At 34.7% G+C, this 18,478-nt stretch overlaps 1 protein-coding gene and 1 pseudogene across 14 annotated transcripts in view; both read left to right on the plus strand.

Moving 5' to 3' along the window:
• The window catches only part of METTL25 (methyltransferase like 25), a 120,711-nt gene that overhangs the window by 94,588 nt on the left and 7,645 nt on the right, over window positions 1-18,478 (plus strand). For 12 of the 14 annotated variants that reach the window (NR_144943.2, NR_144942.2, NR_144941.2 and 9 more), the window contains one exon: window positions 3,611-3,704. Coding sequence is in view for 9 of the 14 variants with exons in the window: in NM_001319675.2 (NP_001306604.1) it covers window positions 3,611-3,704 (94 nt within the window). In the remaining 5 variants the exon portion in view is untranslated. Of the gene's footprint in view, window positions 1-3,610; window positions 3,705-6,759; window positions 6,962-18,478 lie in introns of those variants that run through there. The other 2 variants (XM_011538829.4, XR_007063135.1) reach the window with 2 other exon arrangements.
• LOC100421061 (hepatitis A virus cellular receptor 1 pseudogene) lies at window positions 15,342-16,105 on the plus strand (annotated as a pseudogene).

The raw sequence follows: 18,478 nt of genomic DNA on the forward strand, positions 1-18,478 counted from the left end.
TAAGTCTAGCAATAAATGACTTGGGAAGAACAAATCCCTTCCTATGAAGTCTATTCCCTCATATAATTTTTTAATTGTTAGAATTATTTAGTATCCCATAGGTTCACTAAAACACTAAAATTCTGTTTCCTTAATTATAGCAGGAGGGTCTGCATAGCTTTTCTGTAAGAATATGTACACACACTTTGGTGTGGTGTCATGGAATCTGTTTTGCTGTTTACCTGTAACACAGAGGTGGCCATTCCTCATCTGCAGTTTAACAGTATTGAGTATGAATCCTATTCAAGTAGTATGCTGGAAGTAATATTGACTAATAGTTAATATCCCAGATTATGAAGTCAGATGTTGGAAAGTTTACTTAACCTCTGTCTACTTTAAAATCTTTAAAATGGGGATAATAATGGGACCTACCACATGGGGTGGTTGTGTGGATTAAGTGAGTAAATGCAGCAAAGGACATAAGAATTACTGGTACATAGTAAACAAAATTAATACTAGCTGTTATTTGTATTGTTAACTTTGCACTTTCTGTTACATATTTCTTCAGTAGCTCTCTATTTTAAATTACACTTATTTGTATAACTAAGCCTGCCTATATGCTTATCTATTATACTTGAATACAATAGATAGACCTGTTTATTATATTAATGCATTTTTCTCTTATTTTGTAACTAGATGTATTTGTTTCTGCTAGCTGAGATATTATTTATTTAATTCATTTATGGAGTTCCTGCTGTGTGAGGTACTATGCTAGGTTCTGGGGATATTGTTATGAGCAAGACAGCTGTGTTCCAGCTGATTAAAGTAGTAGTCTCAAACATATTTTTATGCTTCACACCTCTGTCAAGAAACATTTCTGAGCATGTATGCAAAAATGAATATTTATTTATAAGTGGTATACATGTCTCTCCACTAGCATATTATATAGATTTTACAGTAAACTCAGAAATTGAAATTTAAAAGAGACAAAATAGAAATAAAAAATCTAATATTCTCTTTCCCTTTGGATGTGTTCACCCACTTTGGAGAATTCACTGGCTTAAAATATCAAGGGGGAGATGATCAGAGAAACAAAGAAGAGAGAGTATGTGAAGGAAAAGTTCTCTGTGTTAGGAGCCCAACTTCTGGAGGGCCAGAAAAGGCTTAACTAAGGAAGCAATATTTGAGATAGGATCTGAAAGGAGGAGTTTGGTGTTTCCAAAGCAGAGGGATTGAGAGTATAGTGTTCTGGGAATAGTGTTTGTAGCTAAAAGCATGGTATGTTCAAGAAACTAAGAGAATGCCAGTGTTGTTGAGGAGGCAGTGTTATAAAGAGATGAAGTAACATGATCACATCATCAACTTTCTAGTTCTAGTTGAGTGATTTTTTTCCTGTTATTGCTAAAAACAGGTCTGAAATAATACAGATTAACAAAGGACTTAAAGAAAAAGTCTTATATAGCAAATCACTGCTTAACACACTAAAAGCAATCTTATAATAACCATACTGTGATACTTTGCTACAGTAAAAAGTAGTGTATTTTGAAAGGGAAAACTAAAACAAGGCCAAATTAAAATTGAAAATGTGTCTCTTATTTTCAAGTAGTCTGAAGGACAACACCCAGGAAACAAACCAATACCACCTATACTTACACTATATTCTCTCTTACACTTACAATGTTTAATACTTATTTAGGAACATTTTACTCAGGGTCTTTTAACAGTATAATAAAAGCAAAATCTAGACTATAATACCAGTAATTATAAAAGCAATATTAATGAAAGTAACAACAACAGCTTACATCATGGCTCAGTTCTGAGCACCTTATATGTGTTACGAAATTTAATCCTCATAGTGACTCTATGAAGTAAATGCTATTGATATCCTCTTTTAATGAACAAGAAACTCATAGATGATAGAGCCAGTCTGACTGGAAGCCACCCTCTTATGTACTATTCTATGCTTTTTCTCAAGAGCTACTCCATAAGACGGTGAAGAATGGTATAAAATTGGAGCCAGAATAACTGGCTTATGGGAAAAACTTAAGTGCTTGTCCTTTTGGATTAAAAAAAAAAAAATCAAAGCTTAACTTTTTTAAGCTGAGCAGCAGGAAGTTAATATTAAATGGCCTATTTTCCTGGCTACACAGTGAAATCAATTATTTTGTGATACATAAGATATATATCTATTATATGGTATCTGTTACACCTAAGATGTATAGGATCTGAGAATAATGTGTATGTGTAGGATCCTGTATGTGCAGGATCTGAGAATGATACAGAAACCTACAAAAATATATTTTCTGCCTTCTGGAACCTATACCTATTCAAGTGACTATTAAATCAAGGCAGTGATAAATAACAAACGAATGGAAGAATCGTAGGGGCTATAGAAATTCAAAATTAGAAAAGATTATTATTAGTCATGTTACCAAAAAGAACATGTACATTTACACTTTATCATAAAGGAAGACTTCAGTTCAACTAAGATGTAGAAGAGAGTGGGGAACTGTGTAATCCATTAAGAGGAAACTGCATGAGCAAATGTACCAAGGCAGAAATGTGGAAGACAGTCTGAAACAATTAGTAGACTGATCTAAGGAGAAAAAACTAAATACTGGAATGTAATGGGATATGCGGTTGAGAAATGTGATTATAGTGGGCCCTGATGGTTTAAGGACTTTCAAATTTATCCCAATAAATGGGAGAGGTATTGAAAGCTTTTGGAGCAGAAAAGTGACAAAATAAAAAGGCTCTTAGAAAATAACATGTAGGAAGAGGTGAAGAAGAGAGACTTCAGTTTTAGAGGTCTTAATTAGGAAATAGTTGGAATAATCAGGACATGATGTAATAAAAAGTGGAATTGAGATGCCGTCTTGAAATTGAGCTGAAGAAATATGTTTTGAATATATTTTAAAGGAAGAATTGATAGAATGTTATGTCTAATTAATCAGAGGTGTTAATATTTATATTGCCAAGAGTAAATGAGGCTTCATTCCTTGTTTTTGATAATTCGTAGTTAATTTTTTTATCCTCTTGATTTTTACATTACACCTAAATTGTAATCAAAGTTGTGAGATGTGGTACTCTAGCATTGTATTGTTTAAATTCAAAACCATCCCATGCTACTTTGTGTACATTATTAATAAGAGTTTGCAGGGCATAAATGAGATCAAGTCAGATCCATCTCATTATATGGGGCTTGATCAATGGCTGGAATTGAAGAAGTTCTCTTTGCATAGCTGTTGAATTATTGCCTCTACTAACAGGTGTTGTCATGAGATGTGCATTGTAATATTGAGCCAGTAAATCTCAAATGTGTTTCATAGCACAATGGAAACTTTTGAAAGACCAATAGTTCCTTTTAAAAATGAGGCTTTTTAATACTGTGTTTAAAACTTCTTTCTCACAGCCTTCACTGCTATATGTTATAAGAATTGTCAGAAGCAGATCCTGAATACATTATAACATGTAACTTTAAAATGTCCTCAAAAGTATTACTGTATTTTGATCACATTTGGATCTTGTGCTATATCCACAGAAAATATTTAAAAATATTTCATGATTGAAATTAAAACCATCTAAAATTTACATTGGAAAAACTAAAAATTTATTCAATTTTGTTTTACAGTGATCGGCATGTTGGTAAAATTTATTCCAAATGTTCTTCTTTTCTGGATTATGTCAGACGGTCTCTAAAGAAGCTTGGATTAGATGAGTCCAAGGTCAGTATATGATGACTCATTATTTTCAGAAAAGACAGAAGAACTTCTATTTTGTAATGAATTGAGAGAATACAAAATAGTTTCCCTTCTAATTTTCTCTCATTTGTGAAAAGGTCCAAATTATATTGAAACAAGACCTCCATCATCTTTTTTCCAGTTTATCCTTCTTGTCATTGTAGAAAGTTTACTGTCATGTATCTCCAGAGTTTCCCTCTTTTAGTTCGAGTTAAAAATGTGCCAATTTACAAATCAAAATACAGTTAAAAAGCAGGACAACAGTACAAGTGAGAAATAGAAGTAAAGCAAGAGAGAATGGTTTTAATTTTGAAATGCATCTATTTACAGCTTATATAACTAAAATTAAAAATCTTAAATTCAAAAGCCTTCAAATAGGAGAATCTTGAAAAGTTGTAATATCATAGGAGGCCCAAGTTAGTAATTGATAACATATTACTGAAAGCAGAAAGGTAAACTTGTTGACTGATAGTAATAAATATTCTACCACTGAGGGAAAAAAAAACAGCTTTCAACATTCAGACGAGCTATTAACTAAAATATTAAATGAACTTGGATTACTCTGGTATTTTGAATTGAGTATAAATTGAAACGAAGAATAGAGTATGTGGTCAAAGGAATGAAATAGATTTCTTGAAAATGTTACAAGGACATAATAATGTTATATCAAAGCTAAAGGGTATTATTATTTATTATATCAATTATTCATTTAGTCCCCAGTTGCTTTATTACTCAAAGCAATTGAACTGGGACTAGTCAGTTTCCTCCCCTTTAAAATAGCTATAAGAAAGCCATAGGATTTAGGAAGGATTAAATTAGGTAATATACATAAAGCTCTTAACGCAGTGTATATAGTAAATGCTAACTATATGATACTCCTTTTAATTATCGTAATCCCTTTGTATGTACTATGAGTAACAACACAATCAACATGATGCTTATAAATATTTTTATTTAGTCACTAAAATGAAGACTCTCCTAGTTTTTGCATAAATGAAGGAGAATAGACAAGGTTACACTAATTTATTTATTTCTGGATTATTTTCTAGGTTATTTTAAAAAAAATGTTTTTCATTCACCTGACTGATCTTCCTTCCAATTAGTCTTACCTAGTGCAAACCTTTAGTGCATATCTCATTTCATGTCTTGCATTTAATATCAAGAACACAAACCTAAGCATTATTGTCACAAATTAAGAGCTACAGTTTTACTTAAACTTAATAAATTAAAAAATTTATTATCATTCCTTCTGGCTTTGTTTTCCCAGTTTGTCTTTAATAATAACCACAGCAAATGTTTATTAATATATTTATTAGTATATAACTAATAAGATACTAAGAATAGTTAATATTTACCAAACACTTACTCTGTGATAGATATTATGCTATGGACATCACAAACATTACCTTACTTACTTTGCACAAAAACATTTACAGTGGATAGCTTCCAGTCCAGCATATAAAAGCTTGGAAACTGCCACTCAGTCTTAGCAAGTAAAAGCTAAAAACAACAGAAAAATCCACAGATCTAATGAGAAGTGAGGTCACAGGGCAAACTGCTACCTCCCAAACTGGAAAGACAGGCAAATACAGAGATTTACAACTTACAGGAGCAGAAACCGCCACAGAAACCTGTGCCAGAGTAGGAAAACCTGAACTGTAATTTAATTGTTGGAGGCTCAGTGTGGACAACTTTGGGAATTAAAAAATACAGAGAGAACCACTCATAAGAGACCACCCACACCTTTGTGAGTTTTACCTTAATGAGCTCAACCTGGTTTTAGAGAATAGTGGAGAAAAAAAAAATCCCCTCCTTCCATCAAGGGGAGGAAAAAATAAACATTTTTTAAATACGCCAGAGCATTCTACTCTTCTGAATACTTTCTTATGAATAGTTTCTCAGAAGAAACTATAATCAGAACTTAACCTGCTAGTGTTTTGTCAGAGCCTAACTCACCTGAGGGAAGGAAAATACCTAGGTCCAGCCAAATCTAACTTTCCATGGGGGAGAAAGAAAATATCCAACTCCAGCCTACTCTAGCCATCCTGTGCCACCCAAGAAAGGGTAAAAATACGGAGAAGCACTGATAAAGTTTGTAGTACAGAGACACAGGCTCACTAAAAGACTGAGACATAATTATAGGACTACAAACCATTGAAAATCATTTCCCCTCCCCTCACACCTTGCCATCATATCACTAAGGGCTTATTTACAGCAGTTACTTTTACCCAGTATTCTATTATCTCGCTATCGAGAAAATTACAAAGCATACTAGAAGGCAAAAAACACAGATTGAAGAGACAGAGCAAGCATCAGAACCAAATTCAGATATGGCAAAAATGTTAGAATTATCAGACCAGGAATTTAAAACAATAATGAGTAATATACTAAAAGTTCTAATGGACAAGGTAGATAGCCTGCAAGAACAAACTGAAAATGTAAGGAAAGAGATTGAAATTTTTAAAAAGAGCTAAAAGGAAATGCTAAAGATCAAAAAATACTGTCACGGTAGCCAGCCATGGTGGCTCACACCTGTAATCCCAACACTTTGGACGGCCAAGACAGGAGAATTATTTGAGCCCAGGAGTTTGAGACTAGCCTGAGCAACATGGTAAGATTCCATCTCAGCAAAAAATTCAGAAATTAGATAGTGTGGTGATATGCACCTCTAGTCCCAGCTACTTGGGTAGCTGAGGCAGGTGGATTGCTTGAGCCCAGGAGTTTGAGGCTGCAGTGAGCTGTGCTTGTGCCACTGCACTTCAGCCTGGATGACAGAGCAAGACTCTGTCTCCAAGAAAAGAAAAACAAACAAACAAAAATACTAGTATAGAAATGAAGAATGTTTTTGATGGGCTTATTATTAGGCTGAACACAGATGAGGAAAGAATCTGTGAACTTGAGGATCTATCAATAGAAAACTTGAAAACTAAAAAGCAAGAAGCCCATATGTTTCAAGCTTAGGAAGATCAGTTACATGCAAAATGAAATCATACCTAAAAGTAATAAACATACTGAGTCACCTTTGCTCTATTTATTCCAGAAGATCACAGTGATACTAATCTTTGGATAACTTCCTCTATCAACCTGAGAATATCAGGAACACTTCAGCCTCCTTGCCAATGGCTTTGTCTTCCTTGACTTTTTTGACAGGATCCGCTGATGGCTTCACCTTCACATCCACTTACTTTAGTTCTTAAGCCAATTATGTCCTAGCCAAGAACCTTCAGTCCCACCATCAAGTGGTGAGAACTACCTCAGTTGTTAACCCATCTTCTTATCACATATGATGTGGGGAGGGTCTCTGAACAACTGTGTCTGTAATCCACTCATCCAACCCACACTCTAAAAGTTACAGTATATGGTCTACCTTTGCTTGTCTAGACCCCCCTTATATAGATTTACTGTAAAAAACAAATTGAATAAATAAATACATGGAGGAGAAGAGACAAATGTCCTATGGAAAAGAGTTCCAAATAATTTATATAGATATTTCCTCCTCAAGGAGATAGAGCAAAACTCCCCATTCTTTAAGTGTGGCCTGTGCATAGTGACTTTTTTCCAAGAGCATAGTATGTGAATGGTAGAAAAAGAGGAACTTTCCAGTGAAGAACCTGACAAACAGAATCTCAGCCAAGTAATCAAGCTCAACATGAACAGTGATAATTCATGTTGCTAGTATGTACTCTTGTTATAAGGTGAGGAATATGTACTTTATTCCTATGATAGTTCTTTCAAAAGCCTATCCCCACTCTATTTATGAGAAAAATATCTGACAAATCCCAGTGGAGAAACATTCTACAAAATACCTGATCAGTACTTCTCAAAACTGTCAAGGTCTGCAAATCAAGACAAGTTTGAGAAACTGTCAAAGCCAAGAGGACTAATTGCAGTGTGGGTTCCCTGGATGGGATTCTAGACTGGAAAAGGACATTAAATAAAAACTAAAGAAATTTGAATATAATGGGGACTTTAGTTAATAATGTATCAATACTGGTTCACTAATTATAACAAATATACCATATTGTAGGCCGGGCGCGGTAGCTCACGCCTGTAATCCCAGCACTTTGGGAGGCCAAGGCGGGCGGATCACAAGGTTAGGAGATGGAGACCATCCTGGCTAACACAGTGAAACCCCATCTCTACTAAAACTACAAAAAATTAGCCGGGCATGGTGGCGGGCGCCTGTGGTCCCAGCTACTCAGGAGGCTGAGGCAGGACAATGGCATGAACCCGGGAGGCAGAGTTTGCAGTGAGCCAAGATCGTGCCACTGCACTCCAGCCTGGGTGACAGAGCAAGACTCCGTCTCCAAAAAAATATGTATATATATACCATATTGTAAAATGTTAACAGAAGAAAAGAGTATACAGTATATGGAAATTCTCTGTCCTATTTTCAAAATTTCTATAATACAAAACTGTTATATATTTATTTTTTAGAAACAACATGAGATAATTAACGTTTATCAAACCTTTGCTTTGTGCCAGGCACTGTGCTAAAAGCTTTGTTTATATTATCTCATTGAATACTAAGGATGGCCTTATGAAATAAGTGATGTTATTATTGTTTTATAGATGAGGAAATTGAGACATAAGTTAAGTGGATTTCTTTAGCCCAAAATCTAGGAAACTGGGGAAGAAGAATTCTAATCCAGGCTGTCTAACTCTAGAACTCATGCTTCTGTTTGTCATACTTATATAACTTATTAACAGACATGGAGCACAAGAATGCTTGTTTGGCATTTTTCCAAAACTAGCAATCATCAGGCAAACAATAAACCTACGAGAAAAAAAATAAAGAGAAAATTCATGCTTGTCAACAGACAAAATAGATGTAATTCTAAAACAGATTAAGGAATTAAACTTTGAAATAAAGGCAAAAAAAAATCAAGGAATGATGAATCTTACTAAAGAGTTAAAGATTTGCTTGTATCCAGGACTTTAACTCATGAAAGTCTGGCTGATGGGACAAAACTGACCAAATGTATGAAACATTTTGGGTACTAAGATGTATGCGATCTAACGCATAGAATAGATTAGAGTTAAAATCACTGTCAACAAACTACAAGCACCTGAGCATGATTTCTTATATATTGTCTCCCACTCTAGTTTCTCTTTAGGACTGCATATCTTCCTGTAGATGACTCAGAGCCCACTAAGTAGGCCCTACTAGGGCCTTACTGCACAGCTTAATTCATGCTAGTTCCTTTTTCTATAGACTAGGAGTTGAGCAGTATGGAGCAATGGCATTCATAACCAGTACTTTCAGCTGCCATTCAGTGTGCACTCTCAATTTATAAGTTTGCATGTCTGTTCTTGCCTAAGGATGATCTGTACCAGGCGATGCTTCCATTCCAATGCCTTCCTTTTATCTTCAGGAAGTTGAAGAGGCTCTCACTGGCTTTAACACTCAGTAATGATGTCTATGATACAAGACCATGAATATACAGTGCTATAGACTGCTAGAACTTAATTCTCTTATCTAGCTATAATTTTGTATTCTTTAACAAATATTTCCCTATTCCCCACTTCACCCTACCCTTCCAAGCCTCTGGAATCCTCTGTACTATGTTTTATTTCTATGAGATTAATGTTTTTTCCAGCTTCTGCATATGTGAGAACATACCGTATTTAATGTTCTGATCCTGGCTTATTTCACTTATCATAATGTATATACATAAATATACATGTCTATAACATGAGACCATGAATATACTTCTGACATCTATCTTTAAGGTGTATATATACAGCTTAAATGAGATACTCTCTTCATTTTAAAATTTTCTTAAAATCTCTGTGATCTAATGAGACTAATTTTTAAGCATTTAATTTAAAAAGTTTATCATGAAAGCAGTCTTCAAGCACTGAATTTTTCACTGAAAAACACATGAATACAGTCGTTCCTTGCTATCCTCAGGGGATTGGTTCCAGGACTCCCATGGATATCCAAATCCATGGATGCTCCAGTCTCTAGTGTCATAGTATTTGTATAGAACCTATGCATATCCTCCTGTATACTTTAGATAATCTCTAGACTACATATAATACCTAATACAGTGTAAATGCTATGTAAGTAGTTGTTGTACTGTATTTTTTTATTTTTTATTTTTTAAATGGACACATAATAATTGTACATATTTATGATATACATAGTGATGTTGCAATATATATTATGTATAGTGATTAGACCAGGGTTATTAGCATATCCATCATCTCAAACATTTATCATTCCTTTGTGTTGGGGACATTCAGGATCCTCCTTCTAGCTATTTGAAACTATATAGTATATTATTGTTAACTATAGTCATCCTGCAATGCTATAGACCACTAGAACTTAATCCTCTTATCTAGCCATAATTTTATATTCTTTAACAAATCACTGTCTATAATGCACTTCCCCCTACCCTTCCAAGCCTCTGGGATCCTCTGTACTATATTTTACTTCTAGGAGATTAACTTTTTTTTTCCAGCTTCTGCATCTGAGTGAGAATATACTATGTTTTTAACGTTCTAATCCTGGCTTATTTCACTTAACCTAATGATCTACAGTTCTACACATGTTGCCAGGAATGAAGGATTTCATTATTATTTATGGCCAAATCATATTTCATTGTTTATACATACCACATTTTCTTTGTCTCTGTTAATCTGTTGATGGACACCAAGGTTGGTTCAATATCTTGGCTATTATAGATAGTGCTAAAGTAAACATAGGGATGCAGATAGCTCTTTGATATATTGATTTCTTTTCCTTTGAGTAAATGCCAAGTAGTGGGATTGCTGGATCATATGATAGTTCCATTTATAGTTCTTTCTGGAACCTCTATCCTCTTCTCCATAGTGGCTATACTAGTTTACATTCTCACCAACAGTCTATAGGAGTTCCTTTTTCTCTGCATCCTTGCCAACATTTGTTATTTTTTATCTTTTTTCATAGTAGCCATTCTAACTGGGGGAGATGATACCTCATTGTGGTTCTGATTTGTATTTCCCTAATGATTAGTGATGTTGAGCATTTTTTTTCTATATTTTCTGGCCATTTGTATGTCTTCTTTTGAGAAATATCAGTGCAGATTATTTGCCCATTTTTTCCTTGGGTGTTTGGGTTTGTTGTTGTTGTTGTTGTTCTTGTTTTGCTATTGAGATATTTGAGTTCCTTGTATATTCTCGATATTAATTCCCAGTTGGATGAAGAGTTTACAAATATTTTCTTCTAGTCTGTAGATTGTCTTGTTCACTCTGATGATTGTTTTGTTTGCTCTGCAGAAGCTTTTTTAGTTTGATATAATCCTCTTTGCTTATTTTTGCTTTAGTTGCCGGTGCTTTTGAGGTCTTACTCAAAAATATTTTCCCAGAGCAATATCCTGAAGCATTTCCCCTATGTTTTCTCCTAGTAGTTTTGTTGTTTTGAGTTTTATATTTAGGTCTTGGATCCATTTTGAGTTGATTTTTGTATAGGATGAGAGGTGAGGTGTCTAGTTTAATTCCTCAGCATATGGATATTCAGTTTTCCCAGCAACATTTATGGAAGTGATTATTCTTTCCCCAGTGTATATTCTTGACATCTTTATCAAAAATTAGTTGACTGCAGACACATGGATTTATTTCTGGGTTCTCTGTTCTATTGCATTTGTCTGTGTTTCTGTTTTTATGCCAGTATCATGTTGTTTTGGTTACTACAGCTTTGTAGAATATTTTGAAGTCTAGTAGTATGATGCTTCCAGCTTTGTTCTTTTGGTTCAAGATTGCTTTGGCTATTCTGGATCTTTTGTAACTCCATACAAATTTTAAGATTTTTTTTTCTAATTCTGTGTAGAATGTCATTGGTATTTTGATAGGGATTGCATTGAACCTGTACATTGCTTTGGGTAGTATGGTCATTTTAATATTATTAATGCTTTGGATCCATGAGCATGGGATGTTTCTCCATTTGTTTCTATCCACTTCAGTTTCTTCAGTGTTTTGTAGTTTTTCTTGTAGAGGTCTTTTACCTCCTTCGTTAAATTTATTCGTATATATTTTATTTCCTTTATAGCTATTGTAAATGGAATTGACTTCTTGATTTTTTTTAATCTAGTTCATTTTGTATAGAAATGCAATAATTTTTGTATGTTGATTTTATGTTCTGCAATTTTACTAAATATGTTTATTAGTTCTAAGACTTTTTTTGGTAGAATCTTTAGGTTTTTCTATATGTAAGATCATGTCATCTGGAAAGAGGGATAATTTTACCTTCTCCTTTCCAATTTGGATGTCCTTTATTTCTTTCTCTTGCCTAATTGTTCTGATTAGAACTTCCAGTACTGTGTTGCATGAGAGTGGTAAGACTGGGCATCTTTGTCTTGCTAAAGTTCTTAGAGGAAAAGCTTTCAGTTTTCCCCCTTTCAGTATGATGTTAGCTATGGAATTGTCATATATGGCCTTTATTATGTTGAGGTATGTTTCTTCCATGTCTAGGTTGTTGAAAGTTTTTATCATGAAGGGATGTTGAATTTTATCAAATGCTTTTTCTACATCTATTGAGATAATATTATAGTTTTTGTCCTTCATTCTGTTGATGTGATGTCTCATTTATTGCTTTGTGTATGTTGAAGCAGCCATGCATTCCTGAGATATAGCTCACTTTCATAGTGTGTTATCTTTGATATTCTGTTGGATTCAGTTTGCTAGTATTTTGTTGATAATTTTTGTGTGTAATGTTTGTCAGAAGTATTGGCCTGTAGTTTTATGTTTTTGTTGTTGTGTCCTTATCTGCTTTTGGTTTCAGCGTTATGCTGACCTCGTATAATGAGTTAGTAAGAATTCCCTACACTTTAATTTTTTGCAATAGTTTCAAATGAATTGGTATTCATTCTTTTTTAAACTTTAGTAGAACTCATCTATGAAGCCATCGATCCTGGAACTTTCTTTGTTGGAAGACTTTTAATCACTGATTCAAACTTGTTACTTGTTATTGGTCTATTCAGGTTTTCTATTTCTTCCTGGTTCAATCCTGGTAGGTTGTATGTGTCTAAGAACTTGTCTATTTGCACTGCATTTTCTAATTTTTTGGTGTATAGCTGTTCATAGTAGTTTCTAATGAGTCTTTATATTCTGTGGTATCTGTTGTGATGTCTATATTTTTGTTTTGGATCTTCTTTATTTGATTCTTCTTGCCTGTTTTTTTTTTTTTACTTTGTTTCACTAATTGTAGATTTTGTTTATCTTTTCAAAAAAACAATTTTTTGTTTTGTTCTCTTTTTAATTCTCAGTTGCATTTATTTCTGCTCTGATCTTAATTTTTTTCCTTCTACTAATTTCGGATTTGGCTTGTTCTTGCCTTTCTAATTACTTGAGATGTATCATTAGGTTCTTTATTTGAAATCTTTCTAGATTTTTGATGTAGTTAGTTATTGCTGTAAACTTACCCCTTAATACTGCTTTTGGTGTCTTCAATAGGTTTTGGTATGTTATGTTTCTGTTTTCCATTGTTTCAAGGAATTTTTTAACTTCATTCTTAGTTTTTTTTTTTTCTTTTTTTCACCCATTGGTCATTCAGGAGCATGTTTTTAAATTTCCATGTATAGGTTTGAATTTTCCTCTTGTTATTGATGTTTAGTTTTATTCCATTGTGGTCAGATAAGATATTTGGTATGATTTTGATTTTTTAAAATTTTTGAGACTTTTTTGTGTCCTAAGGTATGGTTAATCCTGGTGAATATTCCATGTACTGATGAAAAGAATGTGTATTCTGCAGCTGCTGGGTGAAATGTTTTATAAATGTCTGTTCTGTTAGTTTGATCTAATGTGCAGTTTAAATCTAATGGGTTTTTTCTGTTGATTATCTGTCTAGATGATCTGTCCAATGCTGAGAGTGAGGTGAAGTCCCCAACTATTACTGGATTGAGGTCCATCTGTCTCTTTAGATCTAATAATATTTGCATTATATATCTAGGTACACCAGTATAAGGTGCATCTGTATTTAAAATTGTCATATTCTTTTGCTAAAGTATTCCCTTTATTATTATGTAGTTTCTCTCTTTATAGCTATTGGCTTGAATTCTATTTTGCCCAATCTACTCCTGCTCAATTTTTCCGTTAGCATAGAATACCTTTTATTTTATTTTATTTTATTTTGAGATGGAGTCTCAAAGTCTGGAGAGCCATGGCATGATCTTGGCTCCCAAAGTGCTGAGATAACAGGTGTGGGCTACCACATCTGGCCAGAATATCTTTTTGTAATCCCATCACTTTAAGCCTGTGAGTGTGTTTTCAGGTGAGGTAAGTTTCCTACAGGCAGCATATAGTTGGGTCTTTAAAAAAAAAAAAATCCATTCTGCCAGTTCATATGTTTAAAGTGGAGAATGTAGACCATTTACATTCAGGGTTATTATTGACAGGTGAATACTTACTTCTGGCATTTTAAAAATTGTTTTCTGGTTGTTTTTTAAATCTTTTTTTGTCTTGCTTACCTCTTATTTATTTTTATGATTGGGTGGTTTTCTGCAATGATAAAGTTTGATTCCTTTCTCTTTTGTGTATCACCCTTACCAGTGAGTTTTATAGTTTTCATGCTTTGATAATGGTGATTGTTATTTTTTCACTTCCAGATGTAAGACTCATTTGAGTACTTTTAAAGGCCAGTCTAAGGGCGATGAATTCTCTTAGTTTTTACTTATCTGTGATCTGTGAAATATTTTCTTTCATCTTCATTTCTGAAAGATGGCTTTTCTGGGTATCATTATCTTGGCTGGCAGTTTTTTTGTTTTATATTTCAATGTTTTGAATATATCATGCCATTCTTTCCTGTCCTATAAGCTTTCTGCTGAAAAAATCCACTGTTCGTCTAATTGAGATTCCCTTATATGTGGCTTGATGCTTTTCTCTTGATGATTTTAGAATTCTTTATTTGTTCTTGACTTACAGTAGTTTGACTTTAATATGCCTTGGATAGAACCTGTTTGGGTTTAATCTATTTGGGGTCTTTGAGCTTCCTGGACATGGATGTTCATTTTTCTGCCAAGACTTGGGAAGTTTTCAACTATTATTTAATTAAGTATGTTTTCTATACCCTTTTCCTTCTCTTTTCCTTCTGGAATACCCATAATGCAAATATTTGCTTGGTGGTCTTAAGGGTGTCCCAGAAAGCCTATAGGCTTTTTTTTATTTTTTTGTTTTTATAAATTTGTTTTTGTCTGTCTGTATTATTTCAGAAGACCTGTCTTCTGGTTCAGAAATTTTTTCTTCTCAAAGTCCTTTCCTACACCAGCATTCTCAAAGTCTGTATGATTTTTCTAACCTAGTGTGTCAACTAAAATTAAGATCTTTGCTAAATTTTTTAAAATAACCCAGCAGAAAACAAGTACTGTTCCAGTCCACTAATAATCTCCCTATAATCTCTTTAAATTTGTAAGTTGGTCAAATCTACCAAAAAGATTGGCCAACTGGAAAAATTTGATTTTCAAATATACTTCTAAGTATTCTTATGAAAAAGATGTAACAAGGAGATAAAGAATGGAATTCTGGGAGAAAGTTGTCTTTATTTACAAAGACCTTTGGAGGAAGGGTCAGCTAAGGACAAGGAGGCATGAGGAGGCACTCTAAAGAAGAAGCTGGAAAACTGCCTCCTAAATAACTCACCCCATAATGCATCCTCAAGGGATCATCTTAAGCCTCATCCTACTTGTGGCAGATACTGTAGTTTTTTTAGGTACAAGTGAGTAGAGCAATAGGTTAGCCTGTCATGCTACCTTGCATCTATGATGGAGAGGTGTCATCTATGTGCTGGGGCTGAAGGATGTGCCCTATATTTGGATCCTCAGATGAAATTGTCTGGATTAGTAGATCCCATGTCACCTTTTAGAAGCAAATGTGTTAACGGGAATTACGTACCTTTTGAAAGGGAATGCCTTCTTAACTATAGAAAATGCAACCGAAACTGACAGTGGCTTGTATTGTTGCTATGTTGTGCACAGGGGGTGGTTCAGTGACATGAAAATCACCCTGTCATTGGAGATTAAACCAGCCAGGAACACGAGTATTCCCATGTCATCTGGAGTCTCTAACCTCTGCTTCTCCAATGCCATCACCCCTGCAGAGCCATGAACCAGTAGTTATTTCACCTTCTCCAACTCAGCCAATAGAAACCTAGATTACAACAACAGAAACCCAGATTACAACATTACAAACAAGGACAAAACCCACCAACCCCATTGTACTCTTACACAACACATGGGAATGGCACCATGACACATTCTTCAAATTGCCTTTGACATAACAATCAAACTCATGTCCCCAGCACAAAATCCACAGATCGCCACCATCACTAAGGGGATGTCTATGGAAATCTGTATTTCTGCCTGGTGTTTCTCACTTTTTTGGATGTCAACATTAACATAAAGTATTTCTACATCATCTGCAAGATGCTGCAACTGCATGTGGTTCTGTTGAGAGACCTTCTGTGTTAGTCTGTTCTCACACTGCTATAAAGAACTGCCCGAGACTGGGTAATTTATAAAGGAAAGAGGTTTAATTGACTCACAGTTCCTTAGGGCTGGGGAGTCTTCAGGAAAATTAAGATCCATTGCAGAAGGGGAAACAAACACATCCTTCTTCACACCCCAATAGGAAGGAGAAGAATGACAGGTGAGCAAAGAGGTGAGCCCTTTATAAAACCATCAGATCTCATGAGAACTTACTATCATGAAAATAGCATGGGGGAAACTGCCCCCATGATTCAATTACCTCCCACCAGGTCCCTCCCAGGACACGTGGGGATTATGGGGACTGCAATTCAAGATGAGATTTGGGTGGGGACACAGCCAAACCATATCACCTTCTAATTGGAGCTTTGCAGAGTGCAGGTGAAAGACAAGTGCAAGCAGAAGATGATATCTATATTATTGAGGTTAATCTTTATGTCATGGATTAAAATGGTGCACTTTGAGGTTTTATGCCCATCACTGTAGAAGACAGTGACCAGATACTACCATCTGGTCTGACAAGACATACTTTAAACTCCAGGATTATTTTTCTATGTCAGTTTCATCTAACATTTCAAGATGTCAATGGTATTGGGTAGAGTGAGTCTCTAGCTCAAAACTCTGTGTAGTCAGCCTCATTGTTAATATAGTTCTCATTTTTTATGCTAAAACTGACTCAGTCCTTCTGATCATTGCAGAGTTCCCTCTCCAACATGAACGCTTTAGAATTGTATGTTCTCTTTAGACTCCACAAATCTTGTGTCCATCAAAGACAATAATCACTGACAATGTAGGAAATGACTTCTATCTTGGCCACCAAAGCTGCTGAGAAGACAGAAATAGGATTTAAAAATCAAATCTGATTTGAGACTTTATTTGAAAGAAATTCATGATTATTTCTTATTTCTATATTATAACTCCAAATGTTACATTTCTTAGGTTCCTGCAAGGGTTCCCAGTGAACCCAGGTTTTTATTTCATCCATGGAAATAAAATAGGAGGTAGTCTCATTTGTCTGTAACAGGTGTATTTGTTTTCTCATGGCTCTGGAAATATGATGCATTCAGTACTTGATCCCTGGATCAGGGTAGCTATTTTACCAGTCAAAAGAAGTGAGTATGGACCAAGTAGAAACTAGGTGGAGAAAATCATTTGCCATGTGATTAAACACTTTTATGCTGTTTCTACTATGTTTGTGCCACAATACTAGGCACTACAGTAAACAACCAGCAGGCTCTCTCAACTAATTTTTACAGGGCAGAAATGAAGAAGACAGGGCAGAAATGAAAGGGAAAAGAGGAAAGAATAGGAAAAAAAAAGCCTTTCTGCCTTAGAAAAGTTACATTGCAAGTATTATAGTGTTTGAAACTGTCACTAGTTTCAACCCAAATTCTAAACTTGTAAATGCCTTCAAACCACTTATATATTTAAAATTGTTTCAGAAAGTTGAAGGGTCTTTTTCATATCTAATGAATTATGGTGTTATTTTTCACAATTCAATTGTGAGGCTTATTGTAAAGATACCTTCAGTTACCAGTATAATTGTTGAGAAGTATAGATTTGCGAGGGCTAGGTTTGTCAGAAGAGAAACATTTCTACATGAACAGTTAAAGCTGGGCATTAATTTCTATTTCAATTTGAGTAAACCCTGAATAATTCATGCTTGGGGTTTAGAGGTGCTCCCATCATAATGGTCTAGGAGGACAAGATGCTTGCTTTCAAAGTGAACATTTTCAACACTGTTCTGCAGAGGTCTAAGAAACTAATAGATCCTTTGAATGAAGGTCCTATGGGAAAATAAAATTGTGACTCATGGTATTTCACATTTCCTAAATGAGACCAGCCTGATCTGGCCTAAATATTTTTTTCATACTACAGTGTTTTCTTAAATTGATGCAACATGCATAAACCTGGGAATTTGAAATTAAAGCTCAGATTTGTAGCTTCTCTGAAAAGACTTGGCTAGATTAGTCTGCATTCCTGTGTGGTCAGGGCCCCACTAGATGGGGCCACATTCTCTAGCCCTGCCTCCTCATGTTTGTTACCTGCCTGGTGCCTACAGGGCTTTCAGTTTATGGCACCTGCCCTATTCTCTATACCTTTCCTGGATATTTATTATGCATGATAAAGCCTCTGGGAATATGGTTGGCTTTGTTTAACACAGCATTGCCCAAATTTGTTTGAACACATGAGCACAGTGACTAGTAGCATTCTGTGAAACAGAATATATAGAGACTTAGGGTACTAAACAGGATTAAGAATAGGGTGAGAGTTCTAATCCTAACTCTTAACAGTAACATT

Source organism: Homo sapiens, chromosome 12 (genome assembly GCF_000001405.40).
Source record: "Homo sapiens chromosome 12, GRCh38.p14 Primary Assembly".
In the NCBI taxonomy this organism is placed as follows: Eukaryota; Metazoa; Chordata; class Mammalia; order Primates; family Hominidae; genus Homo; species Homo sapiens.